Genomic DNA, 26493 nt, shown 5'->3' with positions numbered 1-26493 from the left:
TCTCAGCTACTCGGGAGGCTGAGGCAGAAGAATCACTTGAACCTGGGAGGCAGAGGTTGCAGTGCGCCAAGATTGTGTCACTGCAACTCCAGTCTGGGTGACAGAGTGAGACTCCGTCTCAAAAAAAAAGTAAATATTTGGCCGGGCGCGGTGGCTCAAGACTGTAATCCCAGCACTTTGGGAGGCCTAGGCAGGCGGATCACAAGGTCAGGAGATCGAGACCATCCTGGCTAACATGGTGAAACCCTGTCTCTACTAAAAATACAAAAAATTAGCCGGGCATGGTGGCGGGTGCCTGTAGACCCAGCTACTCGGGAGGCTGAGGCAGGAGAATGGTGTGAACCTGGGAGGCACAGCTTGCAGTGAGCCAAGATTGCGCCACTGCACTCCAGCCTGGGCAACAGAGTAAGACTCCGTCTCAAAAAAAAAAAAAAAAAAAAAAAAAAGTAAATATCTAACAGACACTCACAAAAGAAGATATATAAATGGTCAATAAGTACATGAAAATGTTTCATTAGTTATCAGGAAAAACAAAACCACAGTGAGATATCACTACATAGCCACTGGAATGGCTAAAAGGAAAGACTGTTTCAAGTGTTGATCAAGATTGGAGTAACTAGAAGTCTCATACATCACTGATGGTAACATAAAATGGTGCCAACGCTTTCTTACAAATAGCTTATTATAAAGTTAGGCACACACTTAAAGACCCAGGAGGAAAAATAAAAACCTATCTCTACACAAAGATTTGTTCACAAATGTTCACAGCAGCTGTATTCATGATAGCCAACACTGAAAACAACTTGAATGGCCAAAGGGGAGTGGATACGCAAGTCATAGCATATCCAGCCACGGAAATACTGCTGAGCAACAGAAAATAAACTAATAAAGAGGATGGGAAAGACAGTAGCAAGGGAGCAGGGAAGAGGAACAGAAGAGAGGGAGAGGAGAAGAGGGAAGAAGAGAGAGAGGAATAAAACTAAAGGAGAGCCAGGCATGGCAGTTCATGCCAGTAATCCCAGCACTTTGGGAGGCCGAGGCAGGAGGATCACTTGAGCCCAGCAGTTCAAGACTAGCCTGGGCAACATGGCAAAACCCCATCTCTAGTAAAAATACAAAAAATGAGCCAAGTGTGGTGGTGCTTGCCTGTAGTTCCAGCTACTTGGGAGGCCGACGTGAGAGGATCACTTGAGCCCAGGAAGTTGAGGCTGCAGTGAGCCGAGATCATGCCACCGCACTCCAGCCTGGGCAATGGGAGTGAGAACCTGACTCAAAAAAAAAAAAGTAAAAGAGAGAAGAAATACCTAGACATGTCATAGCCAGACTGCAGAACACCAAAGCATCTTAAAAGTAGCCAGAGAGAAAAGGCAGACTAGTTACAAATAATTAGACAGCAACAGCAATGGGACCAGAACACAGCTGATTAATACAGGAACAATACAGAATTGCACACCCAGATAAACTTACCATTCAAGAACAAAGGTATCTAAGACATGCAGAAACTGAAGTTACCACCAACAGATGCTAACAGAATTTCTAGAAGATGTGTCTCAGGAAGAAGGAAAATGTATCCCAGAAGCAAGCTTCAAAGTACAAAAAGGAATGGTGAGCACATTAAATTTACAGACAAGTACCATATAAAACAATTAGAATGTCAAATTTGGCGCAGGTTAAGAAATGAGAAGGCTATATAAAAGAACAGATCCCAAAATGCTAAGGTAGGAGTCAGTAACAGGTGGCAGGATTTCAAGTTTGTTTTATTTTCTTCTTCATGCTTTTATTGTCTTGTGTTTTCTTGAAACGGAGTTTCACTTTTGTTGCCCAGGCTGGAGTACAATGGCGTAATCTCAGCTCACCACAACCTCCGCCTCCCGGGTTCCAGCGATTCTCCTGCCTCAGCCTCCCGAGTAGCTGGGATTACAGTCACGCGCCACCACGCCTGGCTAATTTTGTATTTTTAGTAGAGACGGGGTTTCTCCATGTTGGTCAGGCTGGTCTTGAACTCCTGACCTCAGATGATTCGCCCGCCTTGGCCTCCCTAAGTGCTGGGGTTACAGGCGTGAGCCACCGCACCTTATTGTCTTTTTTTTTGAAAAGGAACCTCTGTCTTTTTACAATCTGACTTAGCTTTAAGGATTCAATTGCTAAATTAGAATGAAATGAAAACAAAATCAAATATCAAACTGCCAGAACTGCAATCTATCAATTCTAATAACAAGTTTCCTTTAAAAACCCTAAAGACTAATTTGAAGGGATGGTAAAAACTGGATTTATTATTCATTCAACAAGGATTTACCAGACTGGGCAACATAGCGGTGAGACTCTCTAAGAAAAATTTTTTTAAAGAAAAAATTAGCTGGGCGTGATGGCATGTGTCTGTAGTCACAGCTACTCGGGAGACTGAGATGAAAGGATTGCTTGAGCCCAAGAGGTCAAGGCTGCAATGAGCCATGATCACCACTGCACTCCAGCCTCGAGTTTTTTTCAAAAAGAAAACAGAACACAATAATTTACCAAGGGTTTGCTATATTCAGATACTATACTAGATCCTGAATGAACAAGAACAAAAACTGAAAGTCATCATAATACTGGATTTTTAAGTCTTCTAATTGATAATAAATTTATGCAAAGCATTTCGTCAAAAGTCTGCACATAAAGTGAAGTTACTCTTGTGGTCAGAGGTTATTATCATAATTGAGAGTTAAAGGCAGTCTAGTGTGGCCTGAGGCTCTTCTTTTTTTTAATGTGTGAACAAATATGACAGTTTTACATATGAAATTCATTCAGTGTAAATGATGAATTCCCACATTAATTGCAAGTCTTGAAGTTCATAATTTCCATCCCACATTAAACTAAGAAAACTTAAAATCTGAGTTAACAGTTTGCAGGCAGCACTGAGCATGCCTCAGTTTCAGTCTCGCCGGATTAGTATCAAAAGCTTCGAGCATGATATTTTAGTAATGTATCCATTATCCACTTTTGCTCAAAGTATCCACTTGGCCAAACATTTTTAACTAATTCAAACCAGGGCAAGGGCATCCTATAAAAAGTTTTGCCAGTTTTAAATACACGTTTTCTGGGGGCTTCTTGATTGAAAACAAAGGCTGCATTTGGCAGAACAGGACTGGAGAAATCAGTATTTCAAGTAATTTGAATGAAAACCGTTTGGCTCTGATCTTCCTGGCCATGTGGAAGTGGTTAAGGAGGTAACAGCCTACCTAAGTTGCCATGGGTGAAACAGAGAGAAAGGACTGTGACCCAGTACCACCACAGAATAAACTCTGACACTAAAAGACAAGAAAAGAAGTTGATCCGCTGCTTCCCATTCAATAGCCAGGCTTGGAGAGGCTCCTTTCAATCAAAAGCACCAAACAACAGGAGAGAGACTGCCACGAGAGCCTAAAACCCCACAGCCTCCCTTCCCAGGCAAACGGTAACCAATACAGGGAATGCCTGTCCTTCCAAAGTAGAAAGACTTTAGCACCTGCATTACAGGACTATACCTGCCCCTCTTATCTGTAGCACCTTCAGCTGGTGAGGAAAGTGCATTTCTCAAAAACACTAAGCAGTTATCTGCAATAAGCAAGGCCAGTTACAAAGGGCTTCTTTAAAATGTCCAGTCCACCATGCTATCAAAACATCAGGCAAGGCCAGGCTCTGTGACTCACGCCTGTAATCCCAGCACTTTGAGAGGCCGAAGCGGGCAAATCACCTGAGGTCAGGAGTTCAAGACCAGCCTGACCAACATGGAGAAACCCCGTCTCTACTAAAAACAGAAAATTAGTTGGGCATGGCGGCAAATGCCTGTAATCCCAGCTACTGGGGAGGCTGAGGCAGGAGAATCGCTTGAACCTGGGAGGCAGAGGTTTCAGTGAGCCGAGATTGCGCCATTGCACTCCAGCCTGGGAAACAAGAGCAAAACTCCATCTCAAAAAAAAAAATCAGGCAAGTACAGTACTTACAAATCCACAGAATTTCTCTTATCCTCTGGGAAAATCACAATGCCATTTTTCCTAAGCATATTCTGCCTGCAGAAACCAGCCTTTTATCCTTTCTCTAGTATTCTCTAATCCCGTCCAGGATGAAAAGAGTTGTTTTTTTCTGATGTTTATCACAAGCATCCTCCTCATAAATATATACAATTTTCCAAATGAATTAAGCTCTTAGGTGTTCAATAAATTAAATGAGTATAAGCTTCACTGTTTAAAAAAAACTAACCCTTTCAATGCTATCTTATTTGTATCTTTAACCAAAAAACAAAACAAAACAATTTCCTTGGGCAGTTCCTTTTTTCTCTTTTTTTTTTTTTTTTTTGAGACAGAGTCTCACTCTGTTGCCCAGGCTGGAGTGCAGTGGCCCAATCTCAACTCACTACAACCTCCGCCTCCTGGGTTCAGGCGATTCTCCTGGCTTAGCCTCTGAGCAGCTGGGATTACAGGCACCTGCTACCACCCCTGGCTAATTTTTGTATTTTTAGTAGAGACAGGGTTTCACCATATTAGCCAGGCTGGGAAATCCTGATCTCAAGTGATCCGCCTCGGTCTCCCAAAGTGCTGGGATTACAGGTGTGAGCCACCATGCCCAGCCCCCTTGGACAGTTTCTTTAACGAAAAGTGAAACAAAAACGTTCCTCCAGGTTCCTTGTAAACTCTGGATAATTCTGAGGTGAATGCAATAACCCAGTAAGAAACTTGTCCAGGATAATTATTTTAAGATCTTCTTTGATAAGTCTGGCTACAGAGTAAAGTTAACATTCTATTATGAAGCAAGGAATAAATCCATCCCTGTATCAATTAAAGGAAGAGAATATCAATGTGAAAGGGGGCATTAGAAACCACGCTTCAAAAGGATTCCCACAGTGACAGAACTTCTCAATGAAACACCACACCCCAAGTAACGGGGGCGGGGTGGTGCACCATAGAATCTGCCCCTAGGAGGCACAGCCACCTCCACACCGAGGGTTTCCAGTTTCCCATTCACATAAAAGAAACAAGTAAGAGATTCTGGGAGGCGCTGGGCTAGGAAGGCATCTACTCACTGTCTCCACCAACAATTCCCTCAGTAAAGCAGCCATTGCCCAATAATGCTTCTATTTATTTTACCCAGAAGCAGATCTATTAGCCAGACATTCTAAAAACACAAACGCTTCGTTGTGCTTGGAGTAACTCCAATATTGATGCCTTGCTGCAGAACGATGCTGCAGGAATATAAAGTGAGCCATGTGCTAGCTGTACCCACTTATGAAGCACACTGTCAGAAACTGTCACATCCTGGAGACCAACCCATCCGAAAGACTGAGAATAAACCCCCTACGAGAACACTGTGGAAGGAGGGAGAAAGCCAAAGATAGGATGAAGCAGGGCCCTCCTAAAGTCTCCGGAACAACGAAGCCAATTTTTAAGGCAACTCTCCCTAAAGCTTTCAGGACCAGAAAGATGTTTCTTTCTCCTCTCCTTGTTCAGACTGAATAAGAAAAGCAAGACAATGCTGGAGGATGTTCTGAAATGGGCTCCGCAAGTCACCACGTGCAAAGCACATTAAACAGAAGCCAGTGCTAGGCCAGGGTTTGGCTCTGAAGATGTTGCCTACTGGAAGGAGAGGGGCCCCCGGGGGTTTCCACGCAGAGACCAGGGCTGGGCGGTCAAACCTGGTAAACTGACAAGGAGAAGAGCCTTAACAACAATATAATGAAACGGCCAGAGGCCACCGGTACTCCCCAGGGCTGGGAGAGACAGGGAGGCCGAGGCTGCTAAACTGTTCCAGATGACAAGCAGGCTCTCCCACGTCTCCACGAACTGATCAGATACCAGGGCCTCGCTTCTTTGTGAGCCTCAGCTCCCTCCTTTCTGGGGAACCCTACTCGATCCCCAACAGCCGCTGGCCTCCAGCTGCCACAAACGAGATCCAGACTCATTACAGGGAATTCGTATTTCCCCCCCTCAAATAAAACACACACACACACACACACACACAGAGTCTCCGGGGTCCAGCCGGATCACACAGCTAAAGTTTCCGGAACTTGAATCGTAAAACCACAATCAGAAGTTGTTTGGAAATACTCGCCGCAAAGCAATCTGTCCTTTGCTTTAAAAAATAAAAAATAAAAAAAACTTTGCCCTGCATAAAGGCAGACAGTAAAGAGAGACACAAATCTAACTTGGGCAGAGGGTGTGTTCCTCTTTGTCACCCGCCGGGAACCCTCGCGCCGCGCGTGGGCGAGCGGCGGGCACCCGGCGGCATCCGCGCCAGCGGCCACCTCCCCGGCCCGCAACCGGCCTCAGGGGCCGAGATTGCGGCCCGAGGTCCGGAAGCGGCGTCCAGCGCTGTCAGCGGGCGGGTAGGACGGAAGGAAACGGGGGAAGGGCGCCGGGGTCGGGGGAGGCGAGCGGGGACCGGCGCGGAGCCCCGCAGCCCGACGTCGGCGGAGGTGAGGGGAGAGGGGCGCAGGGGGCAGCCCGGAGCCCCGAGGCCCCCGAGCTCCTGCGATGGTGGCCGGGGCTGCCCGGGCCCGACCCGCCGCCCGACTGCGCAGGGCAGGACCTCGGGGACCACGCGCCCACCTTCGCCCGCAGCCGCGGCCGTGCGCTGCGGGAGCCTGGACTCGCACAAGTTGCCGCCCGCGGCCCGGACCCCGCCGGCCCCCGCCCTCCCGCCGCGGTCATTGTTCACCGCGCGCCTCCTACCTCCACAGCGCCGGCGGCTGCGGCGGCTCCCTCTCCCGGCTCGGGCTCCGGGATCGGCGGCTCCCAAGCCCCCGGCGGCCGAGGGCGCGGCGGCGCCGGCTATTAATACCCGCGGGCGGCGGCGGCGCGGGCGCGCGAGCAGGGCTGGCGGTGGCCGGCTGAGGTCCGAGCCATCAAAGGTGGCGCGGGGCGGAGGGGAGGGCGGAGCAGGCGGGGTGGGTGGGGAGCGGGCTCCGGGTCGCCATGGCCGCCTCGACGCCGGGGCCAGCGCTACTCGCGCAGGGAGGAGCGGCGCAAAGCGGGCAGCGGCCGCGTCCCCGCCCCGCGCCCCAGCCGAGCGCCCGCACCGCTGCGCCCGCGCCGGACCCGCCGCCTCTGAGGCCGGCGAGCGGGAAGTGCAGTGGCCACCGCCCCTCCCCGGGTCTGGGCCGGCCCCTCGGCGGGGGGAGGCGGGCGCCGCGCAGCCCGAGCAGCGGGGACGCGGGAGAGCCACAGCCCCCTCCAGCGTCCGGGCCCGCGCCCTGCGCCCGCCCCGCCCCGCTCCGCTCCGCCCGGGCAGGTGCGCCCAGGGGCCTCCCGAGCCCAGCGCGCCGCCGGGGATCTGCGCCTCTCTTGGGCTTCCGGCCAGGGCCGGGCTCCGCGCGGCGCTACCTAATGCAGCGCGGGGAGCGCCACTGGCGAGACGCGAATCCAGCAGCTGTGGCGAAAAACGAACCGGGGAGAGCGGGAGACGTGTGCACGGCGAAGCCGGGAGCGGCAGGCGGGCGGTCAGGGGCTCGGACTCTGCAGGTCGCTTTTTGAGGTCCTGCCTGGGGCTGCTTCGCCTGCGACGTCGCGCGGGGAGGACAGTCTTCAGGGACCCACCGAGCCCTCCCCTCCCCCGGAGCCACAGGCACGGGCTTCCGGCACCACCCCGGGCTGCGCGGGACTTAAGCTTGGGGGAGCGGCGGCCACCCCGCGCCCGCCCACGTCCTGGCCCAGCGCCCTCCGCCCGAGCGAATCCCATGACAGTTCCCGCCCGCCCAGCCTCGGGGGACAGTGCCCTTGGGGAATGGCGTGGGGGAGGTTAGGAGTGGCTTGCGGTGCTTGAGAGCCTTCGGGGTTTCGGGAACTCTACGGAGCGGGGAGCAAGATTCAGGACCCAGGAGGCAGCGATCTAGGGGCACAGTCACCGTCCCCACCCAGCAGCTGCCGCGTTACCTTCTCTTCCCCCTTCTGAGCCTCCAGTCCCTCTCTCTAAGCGTGGCGGGAAGAGGCCTAGGGCGCAGCAAGTGACGTTCTGCCAGACCCGGGGCTAGCGGATTCCGGCCTTCGGAGGCCACTGGCTCAGAACCGTGGGCCTTTTGCGTCTTACAGGAGTTCCCTGACCTCAGACCGAGAGGGCAGATTTCACGGGAGAGGCCTCAAGTGAACTCACAGCTGGACAGGAGCTGGGCAGAAGTGGAGTGTAGGGACCCTGATAGAAGGGCGGGTTGAGACAAGAACAGGGGTCTTGGAAGTAGGGGGTGCTTGTGGGCAGCTCCTGGGGAGGAGCAGAGATGTAATACTTGCAGATTTGGTGGTCTGTGGTTGAAGAGAAGAAATGGTGGGTTTGAGGCTTTGCTCTGTCAGCCCAACCAGCTGTGTGTCACAGATCAGATTTTTTTCTGCTCGTGATTCTCTAAGTGTGGTTCTCAGACCACGACCACCACCAGCAGCCCCTGGAAACGTCAAGAAATGAACATTCTTGGGCCGCATCCCCGACCTACCTAATGAAACCTTAGCAAGCATCTGAATCGCCTGCAGGGATAAAGGACTGTCAGGCTCCATCCCCAGAGCTGCCGATTCAGTAGGTTTGGGGTGGGGCCTGAGAGTTTGCATTTCTAACAAATTCCCAGATAGTGATGTTGCTCTGGTCCTGGGATCACACTTGGAGGATCACAGTGTTAGGACAGTGGGTCTCAAACTCATGGAATCATCTGCGATTAAAAAACAACACCCTGGTTGCACCCCAGCCAAATATATAAAGATTCTAACCCAGGCATCAGTAAAGTTCCGCAGGTGATTCCAGTGTGTAGCCAGGTTTGAGAACAGTTGCTGTAGGCGGCTTTTTAAACTCTAGTGTATACCTGAATCACCAGGGAATCTTGTTGGAATGCAGATTCTGATTCAGTAAGTCTGAGACTGTTTCTAACAAGCTCTCAGGTGTTACTTGCTGGTCCAAGGACTACACGTAGTAGCAAAGTGCTATGTCATACCTCCCAACTAAAAGGAAAAAATTAGGCCGGGCGCGGTGGCTCACTCCTGTAATCCCAATACTTTGGGAGGCTGAGGCAGGTGGATCACCTGAGGTCAGGAACTTGTAAACCAGCCTGGCCAGCATGGGGAAACCTCGTCTCTACTGAAAATACAAAAATTAGCTGGGCGTGGTGGTGCGCGCCTGCAATCCCAGCTACTCGGGAGGCTGAGGCATGAGAATTGCTTGAACCCGGGAGGCAGAGGTTGCAGTGAGCCGAGATCGTGCCATTGCACTCCAGCCTGGGCAACAAAGTGAGACTCCATCTCAAAAAAAAAATCATAAAAATAATAAAAGCAAAAAATCATAGAAAGCGCAGAAAATTAGAAAAGTGACATTTTCCCAGTCACTCTCTTTGCAAGACCGACATTTTCTACATGTTACAGCATTTCTTTCATAGTCTTTGTATGTCTAGAATTAGATTTAGTTGTGATCTTAAAACTATTTATGATCATAACACATAATATATTGATCATATTAATCAATATGATAATACATAATATCCCATGTTGCCTTATCTCAACATTATCAACATTTGTGAAGGTGACTTTTAAAGGAGCCGTTCTGAGGTTTGCAGGCTGAGGGCAGGAGCCCATGGGGAGAGAGTTAATGGGGGAAAAGAGAGGGGAGAAGGGGCAGTTCTGGGAATCTAGTTAGAGAGGCTGTAAAGCGGTGGGGTCACACTAGAGAACTTCCTACGTTTCCTCCCAGCTCTCACCAACATTCCGCGGTTGGTACCTAACCTGATAGAAAGTACTGTTTCTTTTAAGAGAGGGTCTTGGCTGGGCGCTGTGGCTCAAGCCTGTAATCCCAGCACTTTGGGAGGCCAAGGCAGGCAGATCACGAGGTCAGGAGATCAAGACCATCCTGGCTAACACGGTGAAACCCCGTCTCTACTAAAAATACAAAAAATTAGCCAGGCATGGTGGCCGGCGCCTGTAGTCCTATCTACTTGGGAGGCTGAGGCAGGAGAATGGCGTGAACCCGGGAGGCAGAGCGTGCAGTGAGCCGAGACCACACCACTGCATTCCAACCCGGGCGACAGAGCGAGACTCCGTCTCAAGAAAGAAAAAAAAAGGAGTCTCGCTCTGTTGCCCAGGCTGGAGTGCAGTGGCACAAACATAGCTCACTGCAGCCTCGAACTCCTAGGCTCAAGTGATCCCCCTGCCTTGGCCTTCCAAAGTTCTGGGATTACAGGCATAAGGCCATCGTGCCTGGCCAGAAAGCACTTTTTAAATTCCTCTCCCTGAAAAGCCAGGGGTACCTGGCCTCGAAAATCCTGAACCTGGAAAATCAACTTCTGAAAAACTTAGGCGTTTCCTTGTCATTGTGTGTCATTTATGCTTAACTTTCAGAATATAAAAATGTATAATCCCCCTAGATCCCCCTTTTATCCCAAGCTGTGGCATGGGTTATTTAGAAATCTTTCTGGATTAAGGAATCACCCTGTGCTTAACAATTCCTCTTATTAATTTTAACTGTTTTACTGTAAAACGTGTGTACATGTCAAGATAAAATTAAGCAGTATAGAAGAGTATGAAGTGAAACCTAGAAGGAACCCTTCCTGCATCCCTAATCTCGCTTCTTAGAAATAATTTTCCCAACAGTTTTTACAGTCTTTCAGGAATTTTCTGCTCATATACAAAAGTGTGTGGGGGCAAGCAAATCTTTCATATTAAGAGATCACACGTCACAGTGAAACACAACTTTTTATTCCATAGTTCCCTCCCCTTCAACACATCACCTTTCGGAGAACCTGGGTTTAGGGTGATGATGCTCTCTGGACGTGACAGTATGCACTGACAGTAACTGAGGCAGCCTGTATTAAAACCCAAGGCGGAAAGAGATCTGCTTGTAGCATTTGTGGTGGGCTCATTCTGTGTAATCCCCCTGCCTTGAGTGTGACCTAGTGACTCGCTGCTAATGGATAGAATACAGAAAAGGAAGGCAGTGTCACTTCTGTGATTAGGTCACAGAGCACTGTAACTTTTTTTTTTTTTAGACGGAGTCTCACTCTGTCGTCCAGGCTGGAGTGCAGTGGTGCAATCTCGGCTCACTGCAACCTCTGCCTCCTGGATTTAAGCAATTCTCTGCCTCAGCCTCCTGAGTAGCTGGGATTACAGGCGCGTGCCACCACACCCGGCTAATTTTTGTATTTTTAGTAGAGACGGGGTTTCACCATCTTGGCCAGGCTGGTCTTGAACTCCTGACCTCGTGATCCACCCGCCTCAGCCTCCCAAAGTGCTGGGATTACAGGCGTGAGCCACCGCGCCAGGCCCATAACTTCTTACTGATACGGTCTTGCCCTCTCATTTGCTCACTTTGATGAAGCCAGCTGCCATGTTGTAAGATGTCCTATGGAGGACCCACAGTGGCAAGGAACAGAGGGAAGCCTTACTCCAACAGCCCTGGAGGCACTGAATTCTGCCAACAACCATGTGATACACAAGTCCTTTCCAGCTGAGACTTGAAGTGATGTCAGTGTCATGAGGAACCCAAAGCCAGAGGACCCAACTAAGCAATTTCTAGAGTCTTAACCCATAGGAAGTATGAGATGATAAGTGTTCTTCTAAGCCACATTTTGGAATAACCTGTTTTGCAGCAATAGATAACACAGCATAATGTGGTAGGAGGAAGAATATTAGGATGAGCAGTTTCAAAGTCGTGTCAACAGGAAGAATATGAATCTCCTTGTGTAGCTGGTGGGAAATCTTGGGATTTTGAGCTCAGTTTCAGCAGCCCTTAATGGAACCAGCAGAAACTGAGCTACAGAGAAAGCAACTGACATGAAGTAGACATCTGAGGTTGGAGAACTTATGAGGTATTAGTTGGGATCTGGAGGTAAGACCTTATTCTTCTGCAAAGAATCAAGACCTTGGAGGGGAAGGGGCAGCACTGGTGGTGACAGAAGCCAGATGGAGAACAGCTTAAGGAGAGAGTGGGGGAGGTAGAGGATAGGATTCCGGGGACTATCTGTGTGGGATGCCTTTGGTTCAAAAGATAGTTGCATATTAAAATTTGGTAGATATTGCAAAATTGTACTTCAAAGACACTGCAAAAATTTATTCTTCCACTGTAGAGATTTTAAAACATGGCCACAAATTATCGTACACTCCTCCCACTGAGAGTTCAGATCTATGTCTATGCCCTTTGAATCTAGACAGGCTCATAACTGTTACGGTCAATAGAATACAGTGGACGTGATGTGACTTTCATAGCTAGGTCAGAATAAGCCATGCTGCTTTTAACTTGTTCTTTGCATACACTTGTTCTTGGAGATCTGAGTGGCCATGTAAGAAGTCCCAACAATCCTGAGACTGTCATACTCAAGAGGCTCATTTGGAGATGTTCCAGTTGACAGTCCCAGATGAGCTGGTCTTTCAATCATCCCATCCCTCGTGTCAGAACGTGAGTGAAGAAGCCACCTCAGAATGAGTTCTCCAGCTCCCACTGTCCCTGTTCCCAGCCATCCCAACCACCCCAGACTTTTGGGTCATACCACCTAAGGACACCATGGACAGAGAAGAACCCTGTGTTCTTTCCAAATTCCCAATCCCATAAACTGGTAATTTCATGCCATTAAGCTTTGCATGACTTACTATGGAACAATAAATGAACCCACTAACCATGCTTGAGAATGATCATTCTTTAGCCCACTTTGGATATTGGCAAACTTAATATTTGTCAGTCTTTTTTTTTTTTTTTTTTTTTTTTGAGATGGAGTCTCACTCTGTCACCCAGGCTGGAGTGCAGTGGTGCGATGTAGGCTCACTGCAATATCTGCCTCCTCGGTTCAAGCGATTCTCCTGCCTCAGCCTCCCAAATAGATGGGATTACACGCATGCACCACCACACCCAGCCAATTTTTTTATTTTTAGTAGAAACAGGGTTTCATCATGTTGGCCAGGATGGTCTCAATCTCCTGACCTCGTGATCTGCCCACCTCGGCCTCCCAAAGTGCTGGGATTACAGGCGTGAGCTACCGCTCCCAGGCATATTTGTCAGTCTTACAGGCAAAAACAAAATCTCATTATTTTAAAAATTATTCATTGGCATTTATCCATTAACTGCCCTTCATGTGCTTTGCTCATTTTGCCATTGAGTTATCTTTTTTTGTTAACTCTTAATATGTTTTATATGTTAAGGAAATTAGCCCTTTGCTATCATGTAATGAATATTTTTTACGTTTTTTAATATGGTACTCTTTTTCACAACAAGTTCTTAATTTTTATGTTGTCAGATTTGTCAGTGTTTACTTTTATGCTTTCACATTTTTGTGTCATGCTTGGAAATGTCTTCTCTATGCAAGATGTTTTAAAAAATCATCATGTTTCTATACTTTAATGGTTTTATTTTTATATTTTATCATTGATCTATATCTTATTTTGGCATAAGAAATGACACATGCCTCCAACATCTTTTTTCCAAATGGCTGAGCAGATACGATTTGAAAACCCATCTTACTTTCATCTTCCATACCTGTTTAAAATGCCAACTTTGTCCTACCTTAGGATCCGCTTTTCTATGAATATTCTTTTCTACTTATCTGCCTATCCCTGTGCCAGTTACCAAAATGTTTGTGTTTATGGCTTCATAATGTATTTTACTATCTGATACTGCTTGGACCCCATAATTATTGTTAATTTCAAAAGTTTTCCCAGCTAGTCTTACATGTTTGTTTTTCCACATGAATTTTGGTATCATTTTGTTAAGCTCTGAAAATAATCATATTACAATTTTGATTAGAATTGCTGACATTTTGGGCCAGGCATGGTGGCTCAATTGCTTGAACCCGGGAGGCAGAGGTTGCAGTGAGCCGAGATCACGCCACTACATTGCAGCCTGGATGACAGAGCCAGACTCTGTCTCAAAAAAAAAAAAAGAGTGCTGACATTTTGACCTTCAACTTCAACTTTTTGGACTTGTATTATTATTTCCATTTTACAAAGGAGAAACTGAGACACAGAGAGGCTAAGTAATTTACTCAAGGTCACACACAGTACACAGCCAAGAAAGAGATTCAGACTCAGTCAAGCTTCAGAGGCCACCCTCTTAGCCATGATCCTGTGTTGTGCCTCCATATTCAAAAATCTAGGACAACTGGAGAAAGCATTCAAAATGCACTTTTTTAGGATAGAAAATAGGATAGGATAAAAAGTGAAGACTTCAGGTCATTTATTTTTCACTTCACTTTCAAAAGGAGAACTTCAGAAGGGAAGCAAAAGAAGGTCATAGACTGAAATCATTTTCAGTCTGGCCTACGATCTTGCCCTTTGATTCTCATCTCAGAGAAAGAAATGATACATAAAGGGAAGGTATGTCATTGTTGATGACTACCTGAAGTATTTTTGTTGTCCAGAAATGCATTGAGTACCACACACCCAATAAGAAAGCTAAAATTTGGCTGGGCTCAGTGGCTTACACCTGAAATCCCAGCACTTTGGGAAGCCAAGGTGGGTGGATCACCTGAGGTCAGAAGTTTGAGACCAGCCTGGCCAACATGGTGAAACCCCATCTCTACTAAAAATACAAAAAATTAGCCGGGCGTGGTGGCAGGCGCCTGTAATCCTAGCTACTCGGAAGGCTGAGGCAGGAGAATCACTTGAACCTGGGAGGTGGAGGTTGCAGTGAGCCGAGATCACGCCACTGCACTCCAGCCTGGGCAACAGAGCAAGACTCGATCTCAAAAATAAAATAAAAAGGCTGATTGACAGATATGTGACAAAAGAAGTAGATTAAAATTTTAATAGAATTGTAGTGGTGACTAGAGGGACATTCACTGTAAAATTCAACTTTGTTGTATGTTTGAACGTTTTATAATAAAATGATGAATTCTACTCCTAGGTATATATTCAAGAGAAATGAAAACATGTCCACAAATTCATATGAGCATTATTCAAAGTAGCCAGAAAGCAGAAACAACCTGGAAGTCCATTAAATAATGAATGGACAAACAAAATATGGTGTATCTATTCAATGGAATATTATTTGGCAATAAAAAGAAAGTACTGACGCATGCTACAACATGGATAAACCCTGAAAACATCATAAGTGAAAGAAGCCAGACACAGAAGACCTTATAGTATATAATTCTATTTCTAGAAAAGATCAAGAGTCAGCAAATCTGTAGAGACAGAGTAGATTAGAGATTGCCAGAGGCTGGGGAGTTGGAGGAGAATGGGAAGTGAATGCTAGTGGGTACAAGGATTCTTTTTTGAGTGATGAAAATGTTCTAAAATTGTGGAGTTGATTGTGAAACTCTAAATATACTAAAAGCCACTGAATTTTACACCTTTTTTTTTTTTTGAGATGGAGTCTTGTTTGGTAACCCAGGCTGGAGTGCAGTGGCGTGATCTTGGCTCACTGCAACCTCCACCTCCCAGGTTCAAGTGACTCTTGTGCCTCAGCCTCCCGAGTAGCTGGGATCACAGGTGCACACCACCATGTGCGGCTAATTTTTGTATTTTTAGTAGAGATGGGGCTCACCATGTTGGCCAGGCTGGTCTTGAACTCCTGACCTCAAGTGATCCACCAGCCTCGGCCTCCCAAAGTGCTGGTATTAGTGTGAGCCACCATGCCAAGCTGGATTGTACACTTAAAATGGGTAAATTGTGTGGTGGGTAAATTTTATGGTATGTAAATTATATCTCAATACAGGTGTTAAAAATAAAATGTCAGAAAAAATATTACCTTCAGCCCTATTATCACCTGATTAATTGCTGTATCAACTACAAATTTCTTGCTGTAAATGAAGAAAAAGATCATCATCATAAATTCGAATATATTCTGTATATATTAACACTAATTTCTTAAGGAATTTCTAAATTCAATTCATGGTATTAATCTTTGATTCATCAAACTGGTTCTAACTGGAGGACTCTAATATTCTTTCAAGTGTCTTCTTTTTTTTTTTTTTTTTAACAATTGCTAGTTACAGATAGCTCAGGATAGACTCACATGGTATTTAAGGCTACTAAAGTCAGAGGCTACTAAGGCTACTAAAGTTTAAATGCTTAAACACTGCCCTGCTCGTCACTTTAGATCCCTGGGAAGTCCCAGAGGCAGAAAGAAAGAGACAGAGCATGACAGTGCATGTGAAATGAGGAAGTTATTCTTTAAACAAGCCACTGGTTCTCAAACTTGAGTGCATACTGGAATGGCCTGGGGACCTTTGATAATGCACTGATGCCTAGGTGCTCCTCCCCTTCCAGAGATCTTGATGTCGCTGGTCTGGGGTGCAGCCTGGGCATTAGGATCTTTTAAAGCTCGCTAGGAGATTCTAGCATACGGCCAGATTGAGAATTATTGGCCCAGGACAATCACCCTAGCTCTGGGAGGGCCAGGCTGGAGCAGAGGCTTAGCTCAGAACCTAAATCCAAATGGTGCGGGGATTCACCCTTCTCCGCATGACCCCAAGCTGCACGAAACTCAGGCAAGAGTGAGTGAGCACAGATGGAGAGCGCAAACATGGCGCCTTAACGTCATCCTCATCCTCTAATTCTAAAGATAGAATTCCAATCAAACTCTATTAAAAGATAGTTCATGAAAAGCTTTCCTCTTACCCTGTTCACCTGTTGCTGCTATCTGCCCTACCTCCAAACAGGTCACCTCTTTATCTTTACAGCTGCTTCTTTATCTTTCCAGAAAAAGACATGTTTATCTTTTAGCTTCTTCTTTATCTCTCTAGAGAATTCAAGCCAACCCAGATATATGTTGTTTTTTTAACAGCAAATATAGAATTTCATGCTATTTTTTTCCCAGGAAAATGTCGGAAATAATTTCATATCGATGCTTAAATAATTTCATATCAATTTCTCTCTCTTTTTTTTACATCTACATAGTATTCCATTATATAGGCACACCATAATTTACTTTAAGAATTACTTATTGATGGGCATTTAAATTGTTTCCTAGTTGATATTATATCCAAATGCTTCCATGGATAACCCTGTTCATGTCATTTTGCACAGATACTAATATAACTGCAGGATAAATTCCTACAAGCAGAATCCCAGGGTCAAAATGTTGTACATTTGTAATTTGATAAACATCACAAAATTGTCCTCCATGGGGTGATTGCGATTGATACTTATACCAGCAACATGAGATTCTTCTTCGCTCCCGGTATCCCACCCCCAACCACCTCACCAGAGTAGGCTGTCACACTTCTAAGTTGTTTGCCAGTCTGATAGGTTAAAAAATGATGTCTCAGCTGGGCTCTGTGGTTCACACCTGTAATCCCAGCACTTTGGGAGGCAGAGGCAGGCGGATCTTGAGGTCAGGAGATCAAGACCTTCCTAGGCGGGGTGTGGTAAGATCAGCCTGGCTAAGATGGTGAAACCCCGGCTCTACTAAAAGTACAAAAAAATTAGCCAGGCGTGGTGGTGGGTGCCTGTAGTCCCAGCTACTCAGGAGGCTGAGGCAGAAAATTGCTTAAACCCGGGAGGTGGAAGATGCAGTGAGCTGAGATCACACCACTGCACTCCAGCTTTGGCGACAGAGCAAAACTCCGTCTCAAAAAAAAAAAAAAAAAAAAAAACCGTCCTGGCCAACATGGTGAAACCTAGTCTCTCGTCTCTACTAAAAAAACAAAACTTAGCCAGGCATGGCAGTGCACACCTGTAATCACAGCTACTTGGGAGGCTGAGGCAGGAGAATCACTTTAACCCGGGAGGCAGAGGCTGCAGTGAGCCAAGATCACGCCACTGCACTCCAGCCTGGGTGACAGAGCAAGACTCCGTCTCAAAAAAAAAAGATGTCTTAGTATACTGGAGTTTGCTTTTCTCTCCCATTTGTGAACTTGTGCGTTTTCCCATGTTTAAGACCCTTTTGTAGTTCCTCTTCTATCAATGTTCATTTGTAGCCCACAGGTGAACTGTGCTCCACAATATTCAGCTGTGGCCCAATGTTCTGTTTTGGCCCACTAGCTGCATAGATGATATAAGCACGCCCCGCAAGTTAGCAATTTTTCTGAGGAAGAATAAGGAGGTGGGTGAACAGGTGGACAGACCAAGAGGTGAAAGCCCTTCTTCATCCTTGACAAAAGGGACTCAGGCTGTTCACTCGCCCCAAGAGGTGATACACCATATCTTAGTCATTCTGCTAATACTAATTGAATGCCTATGATATGTAAAACATGTCTAATAGATGAAAGAATGAAAGCACCAGGATATACATTTCAAAATTACATTATAATAGAAGTCTTTCTACCAACATTCCTATGTACTTCTTTTTTATGGATATTGATGTGCAATTGCGCCATCATTGGTAGTAATTAAACTGTCATTTCATACTTTTTGCATTTTCCTTGCATTAAGCTTCTCCAAACTGCTAATTTTCTTTTTTCTTCTTCTTTTTTTTTTTTTTTTGAGATGGAATTTCGCTCTTGTTGCCCAGGCTGAAGTGCAATGGCACGATCTCAGCTCACCGCATCCTCCGCCTCCCAGGTTCAAGCAATTCTCCTGCCTCAGCCTCCCGAGTAGCTGGGATTACAGGCATGTGCCACCATGCCCGGCTAATTTTGTATTTTTAGTAGAGATGGGGTTTCTCCATGTTAGTCAGGCTGGTCTCAAACTCCCGACCTCAGGTAATCCGCCCGCCTCAGCCTCCCAAAGTCCTGGAATTACAGGCATGAGCCACCGCGCCTGGCCCCAAACTGATAATTTTCTAACATATTCTTTGAATCTATGCTCCTATATATGTAATCTTAGTACTTTTGGCATTTTTTCCACCACCTGAAGAAAAAAAAAACAAACCATGATCCCCTCTTTATGATTCTTCCAAAGCCTTTTCTGACTTGAGAGCTTCTTTGTGTGTGCCTGTTCTCTTATTGAGTTTGGTTTCTTTCTGTGTAAATTAGAAGCCCTAATAAGGACTTTCCAATGGCATCTAGTCGATTCCTGAGGCGCCTTGCTGGACAGAGGTATCAATCTTTTGTGTTTTAAAGCATTTCTGAAGAAAGACCTTTCATTTTCTCAATAATCTTCCCATTCCAGTATTTATGATCTAGTCATGGAAATAACTTTCTACCACCTATCTCCCCGGATGATCTCATTGACCATCTTAATGTAATTTGATGCTGATTACTTCTACATTTTTCTTCAGTTCTCACAAATTAGTCATCAAAACAGATTCACACTGTAATTAACTTGTGACTTTGATTTTTTTTTTCGTGGTAGAATTAAGAACTTTGATGTTTTTCCCATGGTGAAAGCACTCTATATTTGTTTCCCATTTAAATAACTACATTTCCAAATTCAGGCATGCAAAGAATATCACTTAAATTAATTTATATTCCAAACTTCTTTCCACCAGGCAGGAAAAAACTCAGCCCCAGCCATTGCGGGGCTTACTGCACCCCCTTCGCTGGACGTCTTGCTGGACAGTAGAGTTCCAGCAACTCAGGTAGCATCAGGGTGTCAGGAGACCCTCTGAGGACCACAGTCCCAGCTGCATGTCAGGTCCGTGCACCTGCGCCGCAACTTCCAGGCCCTGCTTAGGGCAAGCGAACTGCCAGCAAGGCTGGGAACCGCAGATGAGGGGGGGTCCCTGCTGTCTGCAAGACCACAGACCCCTCCTTCCGTTTTAGCTTGAAGGGAATCCCTTCTCTTTTCTCTTTTCCTTCAGAGGCACGACTTCTGGCTCCTCTATTCCCACAGAACACTGAACATACTTAGGGTTTTGGCTTTTGAAAACCTGAATATCTCAAAAAAAATACCCATCATCCATTTCATGTTGAAAAGACATCAAGGTCTGTGTTAGGAGGCCCCCGTCCATGAGCGTTGACGGTGCAGCCGGGATGACAGGTGAATTAACAGGAGGCACCACATCACAAGTGCACCAAGCCCACCCATGTGGATATGACAAAAGAAGCCTTATTCACTTCTAGGGGGAAGGCACACTAAGCCAGGACCTGAAGAGGTAAGAAACAGGTGGAGGGCTCAGCAGGCAGTGGAAAAGATGGTCCCACAAGGTTTTACTCCACAATTGTTCTTTTCAACACTCTTTGCTCAAATATTTGTGCATTTTATGCAGCTTCTCTTTTTTAGTGCTTTCATGATGGGTAAACTGAGTCTTCTCTATTGTCCTAAATGATAAGGAATTACAAAAGGTTGACTTGTAAATGACACAATTTATTGTCAATTAACCCAACAAGTTTTATAATGTAACTGTGGAGAGAGCATTGGGAGGAGGAGGGGCAAATGCTGTCTTAGCAAAATAAATCCAGAGTATTTTTAGCAAAACTAGAATCAAAGTTATGTTAATACAGAGAATATGAATCTCCCTAGTAGATCAGACCAGGGTAGGGGTGAGGGTGGGTTGGGAAGGAACTGCAAAGGAAATGATTCCTGCTTGGGAGAAGGGAGGGAGATTTCGACTGGGACCTAAAGCTTGGTACAGTCACACCTGGCATCCCAGCTTCTTCCCCAGCCCTCATCCTCAGGAGCAAGCTCACCTTTCTCCTAACATGGAAGGGTTAAACATACTATATCAAAACCCACTCCTTCTACTTTGGGGTCTCTGTAATTGGCCAAAGAGAAAAGCCACTGAATGATGTCTGAGGCTGCAAAATGTGCAGGACACAAGAAAAGACTCAGAGTTCTGGAATTTAATGACAGTCATGATTTGCTTAATGACGGGGATACATTCTGAGAAATGCATCAGTAGGCGATTTCATCATTGTGTGAACATCACAGAATGTACTTACACCCACCTAGATGGTGTAGCCTTCTATGTACCTAGGCTATATGGTACAGCCTGTTGCTCCTAGGCCATCAACTGGAACAGCATGTTACTGTACTGAAAACTGTAGGTAATCATAACAAATAGTAAGTATATGTATATCTAGACATATCTAAGCATAGAAAAAGTACAGTAAAAGTATGGTATAAAAGATTAAAACATGGTGTACCTGCAGAGGGCACTTACCATGAATGGAGCTTGCAGGACTGGAAGCTGCTCTGGGTGACTCACTCAGTGAGTGAGTGGTGAATGAGTTGAAGGTCTAGAACATAGCTATATGCGACTCCATTTTTATGCTGCTAATAAAGACATACCCAAGACTGGGCAGTTTACAAAAGGAAGAGGTTTTATTTATTTATTTTTTTTGAGACAGAGTCTCCCTCTGTCGCCCAGGCTGGAGTGCAATGGCACGATCTCGGCTCACCGCAACCTCCGCCTCTTGGGTTCAAGCAATTCTACTGCCTCAGCCTCCTGAGTAGCTGGGATTATAGGCGTGCGCCACCATGCCCAGCTAATTTTGGTATTTAGGACAGGGTTTCACCATGTTGGTCAGGCTGGTCTCGAACTCCTGACGTCATGATCTGCCCGCCTCGTCCTCCCAAAGTGCTGGGATTACAGGCAAGAGCCACTGCGCCCGGCCAAAAGGAAGAGGTTTAATTGGACTTACAGTTCCACACAGCTGGGGAAGCCTCACAATCATGGCAGAAGGCAAGGAGGAGCAAGTCATGTCTCACATGGATGGCAGCAGGCAAGAGAGAGAAATGAAAGCCAAAAGAAACGGGTTTCCCCTTATCAAACCATCAGATCTCATGAGACTTATTCACTACCAAGAGAACAGTATGGGGAAATCCACCCCCAAGATTCAATTATCTCCCACTGGGTCCCTCCCACAACACATAGGAATTATGGGAGCTACAAGATGAGATTTGGGTGGGGACACAGAGACAAAGCATATCAACTGTAGACTACATAAACACTGTACACTTAGGCTACTACATTGTATTAGCCCATTTTCACACTGCTAAAAAGAAATACCTGAGACTGGGTAATTTATAAAGGAAAGAGGTTTCATTGACTCCCAGTTCCTCATGGCTGGGCAGGCCTCAGGAAACTTACAATCATGGTGGAAGGGGAAGCAGGCACAGCTTACATGGCAGCAGATGAGAGAGAGAACCCCAGGGTAAACTGCCATTTATAAAACCATCAGATCTCATAGGAGCTCCCTCACTATCATGAGAACAGCCTGGTGGAAACTGCTCCCATAATCCAATCACCTCTCACCAGGACTCTCCCTCAACATCTGGGGGTTATAATTCAAGATGAGATTTGAGTGGGGATACAAAGCCTAATCATAATATACATTTATTAAAAATATTATTCTGGCCGGGCGTAGTGGCTCACACCTGTAATCCCAGCACTTTGGGCAGCTGAGGCGGGTGGATCACAAGGTCGGGAGTTCGAGACCAGCCTGGCCAACATGGTGAAACCTCGTCTCTACTAAAAATACAAAAATTAGCTAGGCATGGTGGCATGTGCCTGTAATCCCAGCTACTTGGGAGGCGGAGGGAGGAGAATCTCTTGAACCCGGAGGTTGCAGTGAGCCATGATCGCACCATTGCACTCCAGCCTGGACGACAGAGCGAGACTCTGTCTCGAAAAAAAATTTTTTATTTCTTCAATAATAAATTAACCTTAGTTTCCTGTAACTTTTTTACTTTATAAATGCTTAAATCTTTTTAAACTTTAAGACTCTTTTGTAATAACACTTACTTAAACATATTATACAGCTGTGCAAAAATATTTTTCTTTGTTTATATCCTTACTCTATAAGCTTTTTTCTATTTTTAGAATTTGTCTTTTTGAATTTTTTAAAACTTTTTTCCTAAAAACTAAGACACAAACATACACACATTAGCCCAGACCTGCACAGGGTCAGGATCATCAATATCACTGTCTTCCACCCCCACATCTTGTCCCACTGGAAGGTTTTTGGGGCACTAACATGCATGGAGCTGTCATCTCCTATAGTAATAACGCCTTCTTCTCGACACCTCCTAAAGGATCTCCTTGAGGCTATTTAAGAATTAACGTTTTTCTTTTATAAGTTAAAGGAACAAATATTATAGTAAATACATAAACCAGTTACACAATCATTTATTATCATTATCAGGGATGATGCACTGTACATAATTGTCTGTCCTAGACTTTTTTTTGTTTTTTGAGACGGAGTCTCGCTCTGTTGCCCAGGCTGGAGTGCAGTGGCACGATCTCGGCTCACTGCAAGCTCCACCTCCTGGGTTCACGCCATTCTCCTGCCTCAGCCTCCCAAGTAGCTGGGACTACAGGCGCCCACAACCACGCCCGGCTAATTTTTGGTATTTTTAGTAGAGACAGGGTTTCACTGTGTTAGCAAGGAAGGTCTCAATCTCCTAACCTCGTGATCCGCCCGCCTCGGCCTCCCAAAGTGCTGGGATTACAGGCGTGAGCCACCACACCCAGCCTTTGCTAGACTTTTATAGGACTGGCAGTACAGCAGGTTTGTCTAAGCCAGCATCACCACAAGCTCATGAGGAATGCATTACTGTACAACATTACCACAGCTAGGACATCACTAGGCCATAGGAATTTTTCAGCTATAGTATAATCTTATGGTACCACTGTCATATATGTGGTCTATCCTTGACCGAAACGTTCTTATGTGGGGCATGATTGTATTTCCAGTGAGAAGGTTAGCAGGAACTGAGGTTTAAAAAAAAAAAAAAAAAAAAGCTGGGTACAAGCTAGGTAAGGTGGCTTATGCCTGTAATCCCAGCAATTTGGCAGGCCAAGGCGGGAGGATTGCTTGAGCCCAGGAGTTCAACACCAGCCTAGGCAACATGGCAAAACCCTGTCACTACAAAAAAAAAATACAAAAAAAAAAAAAAAAAAATTAGCCAGGGGTGGTGGCATGTGCCTGTAGTCTCAGCTACTTGGGAAGCTGAGGTGGGAGGATCACTTGAACCCAGGAGGTCTAGGCTGCAGTGAGCCAAGATCACACCACTGTACTCCAGCCTGGGCAACAGAGTGAGACTCTGTCTCAGACCAAAAAAAAAAAAAAAGCAAACTGGGTAAGGGAATAGGTGTATGAGAGAAGGGAGGACCCAAAGGAGAGGACTCAAGGAATTGAGGGGAAGAGGAAAGCTTTAGGAAGGAGAAATGGTTCATGGGAAATCCCTGGGAGATGTGCACGTGGGGCCCACAGGGAGACTGGACTCTTGTGAGGAAGCAGCGTGACCAGCCCAGATGCCTGGTGCCCATTTCTACCTCCATGTCCCTGTCTGAGTCCCCATCCCTGGAGTAGCTTTGCTTGATTATCTGAGCCTCTGAATAAAAAACAACTTCAGTTCTCCTCAGAATCCATTGAATCCCCTCAGAGAACAGCGAGAGAGGTGGTGTTTGGACCGGAGAAGCCCTCAGCTGAGGTAGGCCTGGCCCGGGAATTAGTTAAGTCTGCTTGGTTGGTTTCCCATGGCTGCTGTGACGAATCACCACAGGCTTAGAGGTTTAAAACAATACAACTTTGTTATCTGATAGTTCTGGAGGCTGGAGGTCCTGAAACCACGGGTCAGCAAGAGCACTTTTCTCAGGAGCATCTCCTGCCTCCAGCAACCCCTAGGGAACTCCAGCACTGCTTAGCTCATGGCCCCTCATCACTCCCACCTCCACCCGCTCCTGACATCACTCCTCTCACCTTGTCTCCCTGCTTCCCTTTTTTTTTTTTTTTTTTTTTTTTGAGACGGAGTCTCGCTCTGTCGCCCAGGCTGGAGTGCAGTGGCGTGATCTCACTGCAAGCTCCACCTCCCGGGTTCACGCCATTCTCCTACCGCAGCCTTCCGAGTAGCTGGGACTACAGGCACCTGCCACCTCGCCCAGCTAATTTTTTGTATTTTTAGTAGAGATGGGGTTTCACTGTGTTAGCCAGGATGGTCTCGATCTCCTGACCTCATGATCCACCCGCCTCGGCCTCCCAAAGTGCTGGGATTACAGTCCATGCCTCCCTTTCCTAAGGACTCTTGTGGCTGTATTGGGTCCACTTGGACATTCTCCCTATCACAAGACCCTTAAATGAATCCCATCTGCAAAGTTTCTTTTAGCATGTAAGGTAACATTTTGGGAGGAGGCCATTATTGTGCCTACCACCCGCATTAGCTCCTCAACTTTCCCTTCCCAGAGGAGAACCAGGGACAGAAAACAATAATTCTGCCATTCCTCGAGTACTTACTGAGCATGTATTATGTGCCAGGTATTGTTTCAATCAGCTGGAACAGAGCGGTAAATAAAACAGACACAAATTCTTCACCACATGATGCTTATATCTTGGTGTTGGGAAGGAAAGAATATACATAATACATAAGCAAAACCTTTAGCAAGTAAGATGATAAAGAATCCTGGGTTGTCTTTGGTGGCTCACACCTGTGATCCCAGCACTTTGGGAGGCCAAGGTGGGAGAATTGCTTGAGACCAGGAGTTTGAGACCAGACTGGGCAACATAGTGAGATCCCTTCTCTAAAAAAAAAAAAAATTCTGGGCATTGTGGTGCATGCCTGTGATCCCAGCTACTCAGGAGGCCAAGGCAGGAGGATCATCTGAGCCCAGGAAGTCGAGGCTGCAGTGAGCTGTAATCACACCACTGCGCTACACCCTGGGCAACAGAGTGAGATCCTGTCTCAAAGAAAGAAAGGAAAAACTCCTAAGGAGAATAAACAGTAATTCAGGTGGTAGGAAGTGAGTATTTAGGTGCTGTGACTTTGGGTAGGGTGGCCAGGAAGGCTTTATGAGAAGGGGAAATTCCAGAAAAGATCAGAATAAAGTGAAGGAGAAATATGATCAATATCCATATTTAGAATAGATACAAGAAGTATCCATATGGATATTTGTGGAAAAGTGGTCCAGGCAGAGAGGAGGCACCAAGAGTCACTGGGTGGGTGCATGCCCAGTGTGGTTGAGGAACAGCTGGTGGCCACTGTGGCTGGGGTGAAGCGAGCCAGGCTGGACTCATGGTCATTGAGGACACAGTGGAGAAGGTGGCAGGATAGTAGGGAATTGTAGGACTTTGGCTTTGACTTAGAGTGAGTTGGAAGTGATTAGGGAGTTTTAAGCAGGTCAGATCAGATTTAAGGCCAGAGGATCTTTCTGGCCACTGTGCTGAGAACTGACCACAAGGGCAGAAGCAGGTGTCCAGCATGGTGGCATGGCCCAAGCTGGAAATGGTGGAGGTGACGGGAAACAGTCAAAGCCTGTGTATCTTGCAAAGGCAGAGCCAGGGGGATCCAGTGACAAATTAGATGTGCGACATGAAAGAGATATGGAGGGGTCAAGGATGACTCCAAGTTTTTTAGCAATTGGGCAAGTGAAGTTGCCATGTATTGAGCTGGAGATGACTAGGGAAAGGAGCGGGTTTGTGGGAACAGATCTGTTCAGGGTTGAGCATGGGTTGAGTCTGGGTTGTCAATTCAGTATGTTAGTCCGTTCTTACGCTGCTAATGAAGACTTATCAAGACTGGATAATTTATAAAGGAAAGAGGTTTAATTGACTCACAGTTCTGCATGATGAGGGAGGCCTCGGGAAACTTTCAATCATGGCAGGAGGGGAAACAAACATGTCCTTCTTCACATGATGGCAGGAAAGGAGAAGTGTGAAGCAAAAGGGGGAAAAGCCCCTTATAAAACCATCAGATCTCATGAGAACTAACTCACTATCACAAGAACAGCCTGAGGGTAACTGCACCCATGATTAAATTACCTCTCATCCCT

The 26493-nt window shown here is 46.2% G+C and overlaps 1 protein-coding gene and 1 long non-coding RNA gene across 4 annotated transcripts in view, besides 2 other annotated features; one reads left to right on the top strand and one right to left on the bottom strand.

Moving 5' to 3' along the window:
- The window catches only part of FARP1 (FERM, ARH/RhoGEF and pleckstrin domain protein 1), a 312588-nt gene extending 305001 nt beyond the window's left edge, over positions 1-7587 (bottom strand). For 2 of the 3 annotated variants that reach the window (NM_005766.4, NM_001001715.4), the window contains exon 1: positions 6684-7082. The gene's annotated coding sequence lies outside the window, so the exon portion shown is untranslated. Of the gene's footprint in view, positions 1-6683; positions 7083-7398 lie in introns of those variants that run through there. The other variant, NM_001286839.2, reaches the window with a different exon arrangement.
- Positions 6266-26493, top strand: part of LOC105370328 (uncharacterized) — a 77599-nt gene continuing 57371 nt past the window's right edge. The window contains exon 1 of the long non-coding RNA XR_931670.4: positions 6266-6337. This is a non-coding gene — a long non-coding RNA (uncharacterized LOC105370328). The remainder of the gene's footprint in view (positions 6338-26493) is intronic.
- Positions 7032-7341: a silencer, noted in NCBI's record as "silent region_5456". NCBI's record gives its function as "represses an Ori minimal core promoter by ATAC-STARR-seq in GM12878 lymphoblastoid cells {active_cell/tissue: GM12878}" and the evidence as "EXISTENCE:reporter gene assay evidence [ECO:0000049][PMID:35858748]".
- Positions 7582-7631: a silencer, noted in NCBI's record as "silent region_5455". NCBI's record gives its function as "represses an Ori minimal core promoter by ATAC-STARR-seq in GM12878 lymphoblastoid cells {active_cell/tissue: GM12878}" and the evidence as "EXISTENCE:reporter gene assay evidence [ECO:0000049][PMID:35858748]".

This window comes from Homo sapiens, chromosome 13, assembly GCF_000001405.40.
Source record: "Homo sapiens chromosome 13, GRCh38.p14 Primary Assembly".
Taxonomy (NCBI): Eukaryota; Metazoa; Chordata; class Mammalia; order Primates; family Hominidae; genus Homo; species Homo sapiens.
The sequence above is the reverse complement of the archived record's forward strand: the minus strand, read 5'-3'. Positions and strand labels throughout refer to the sequence as shown.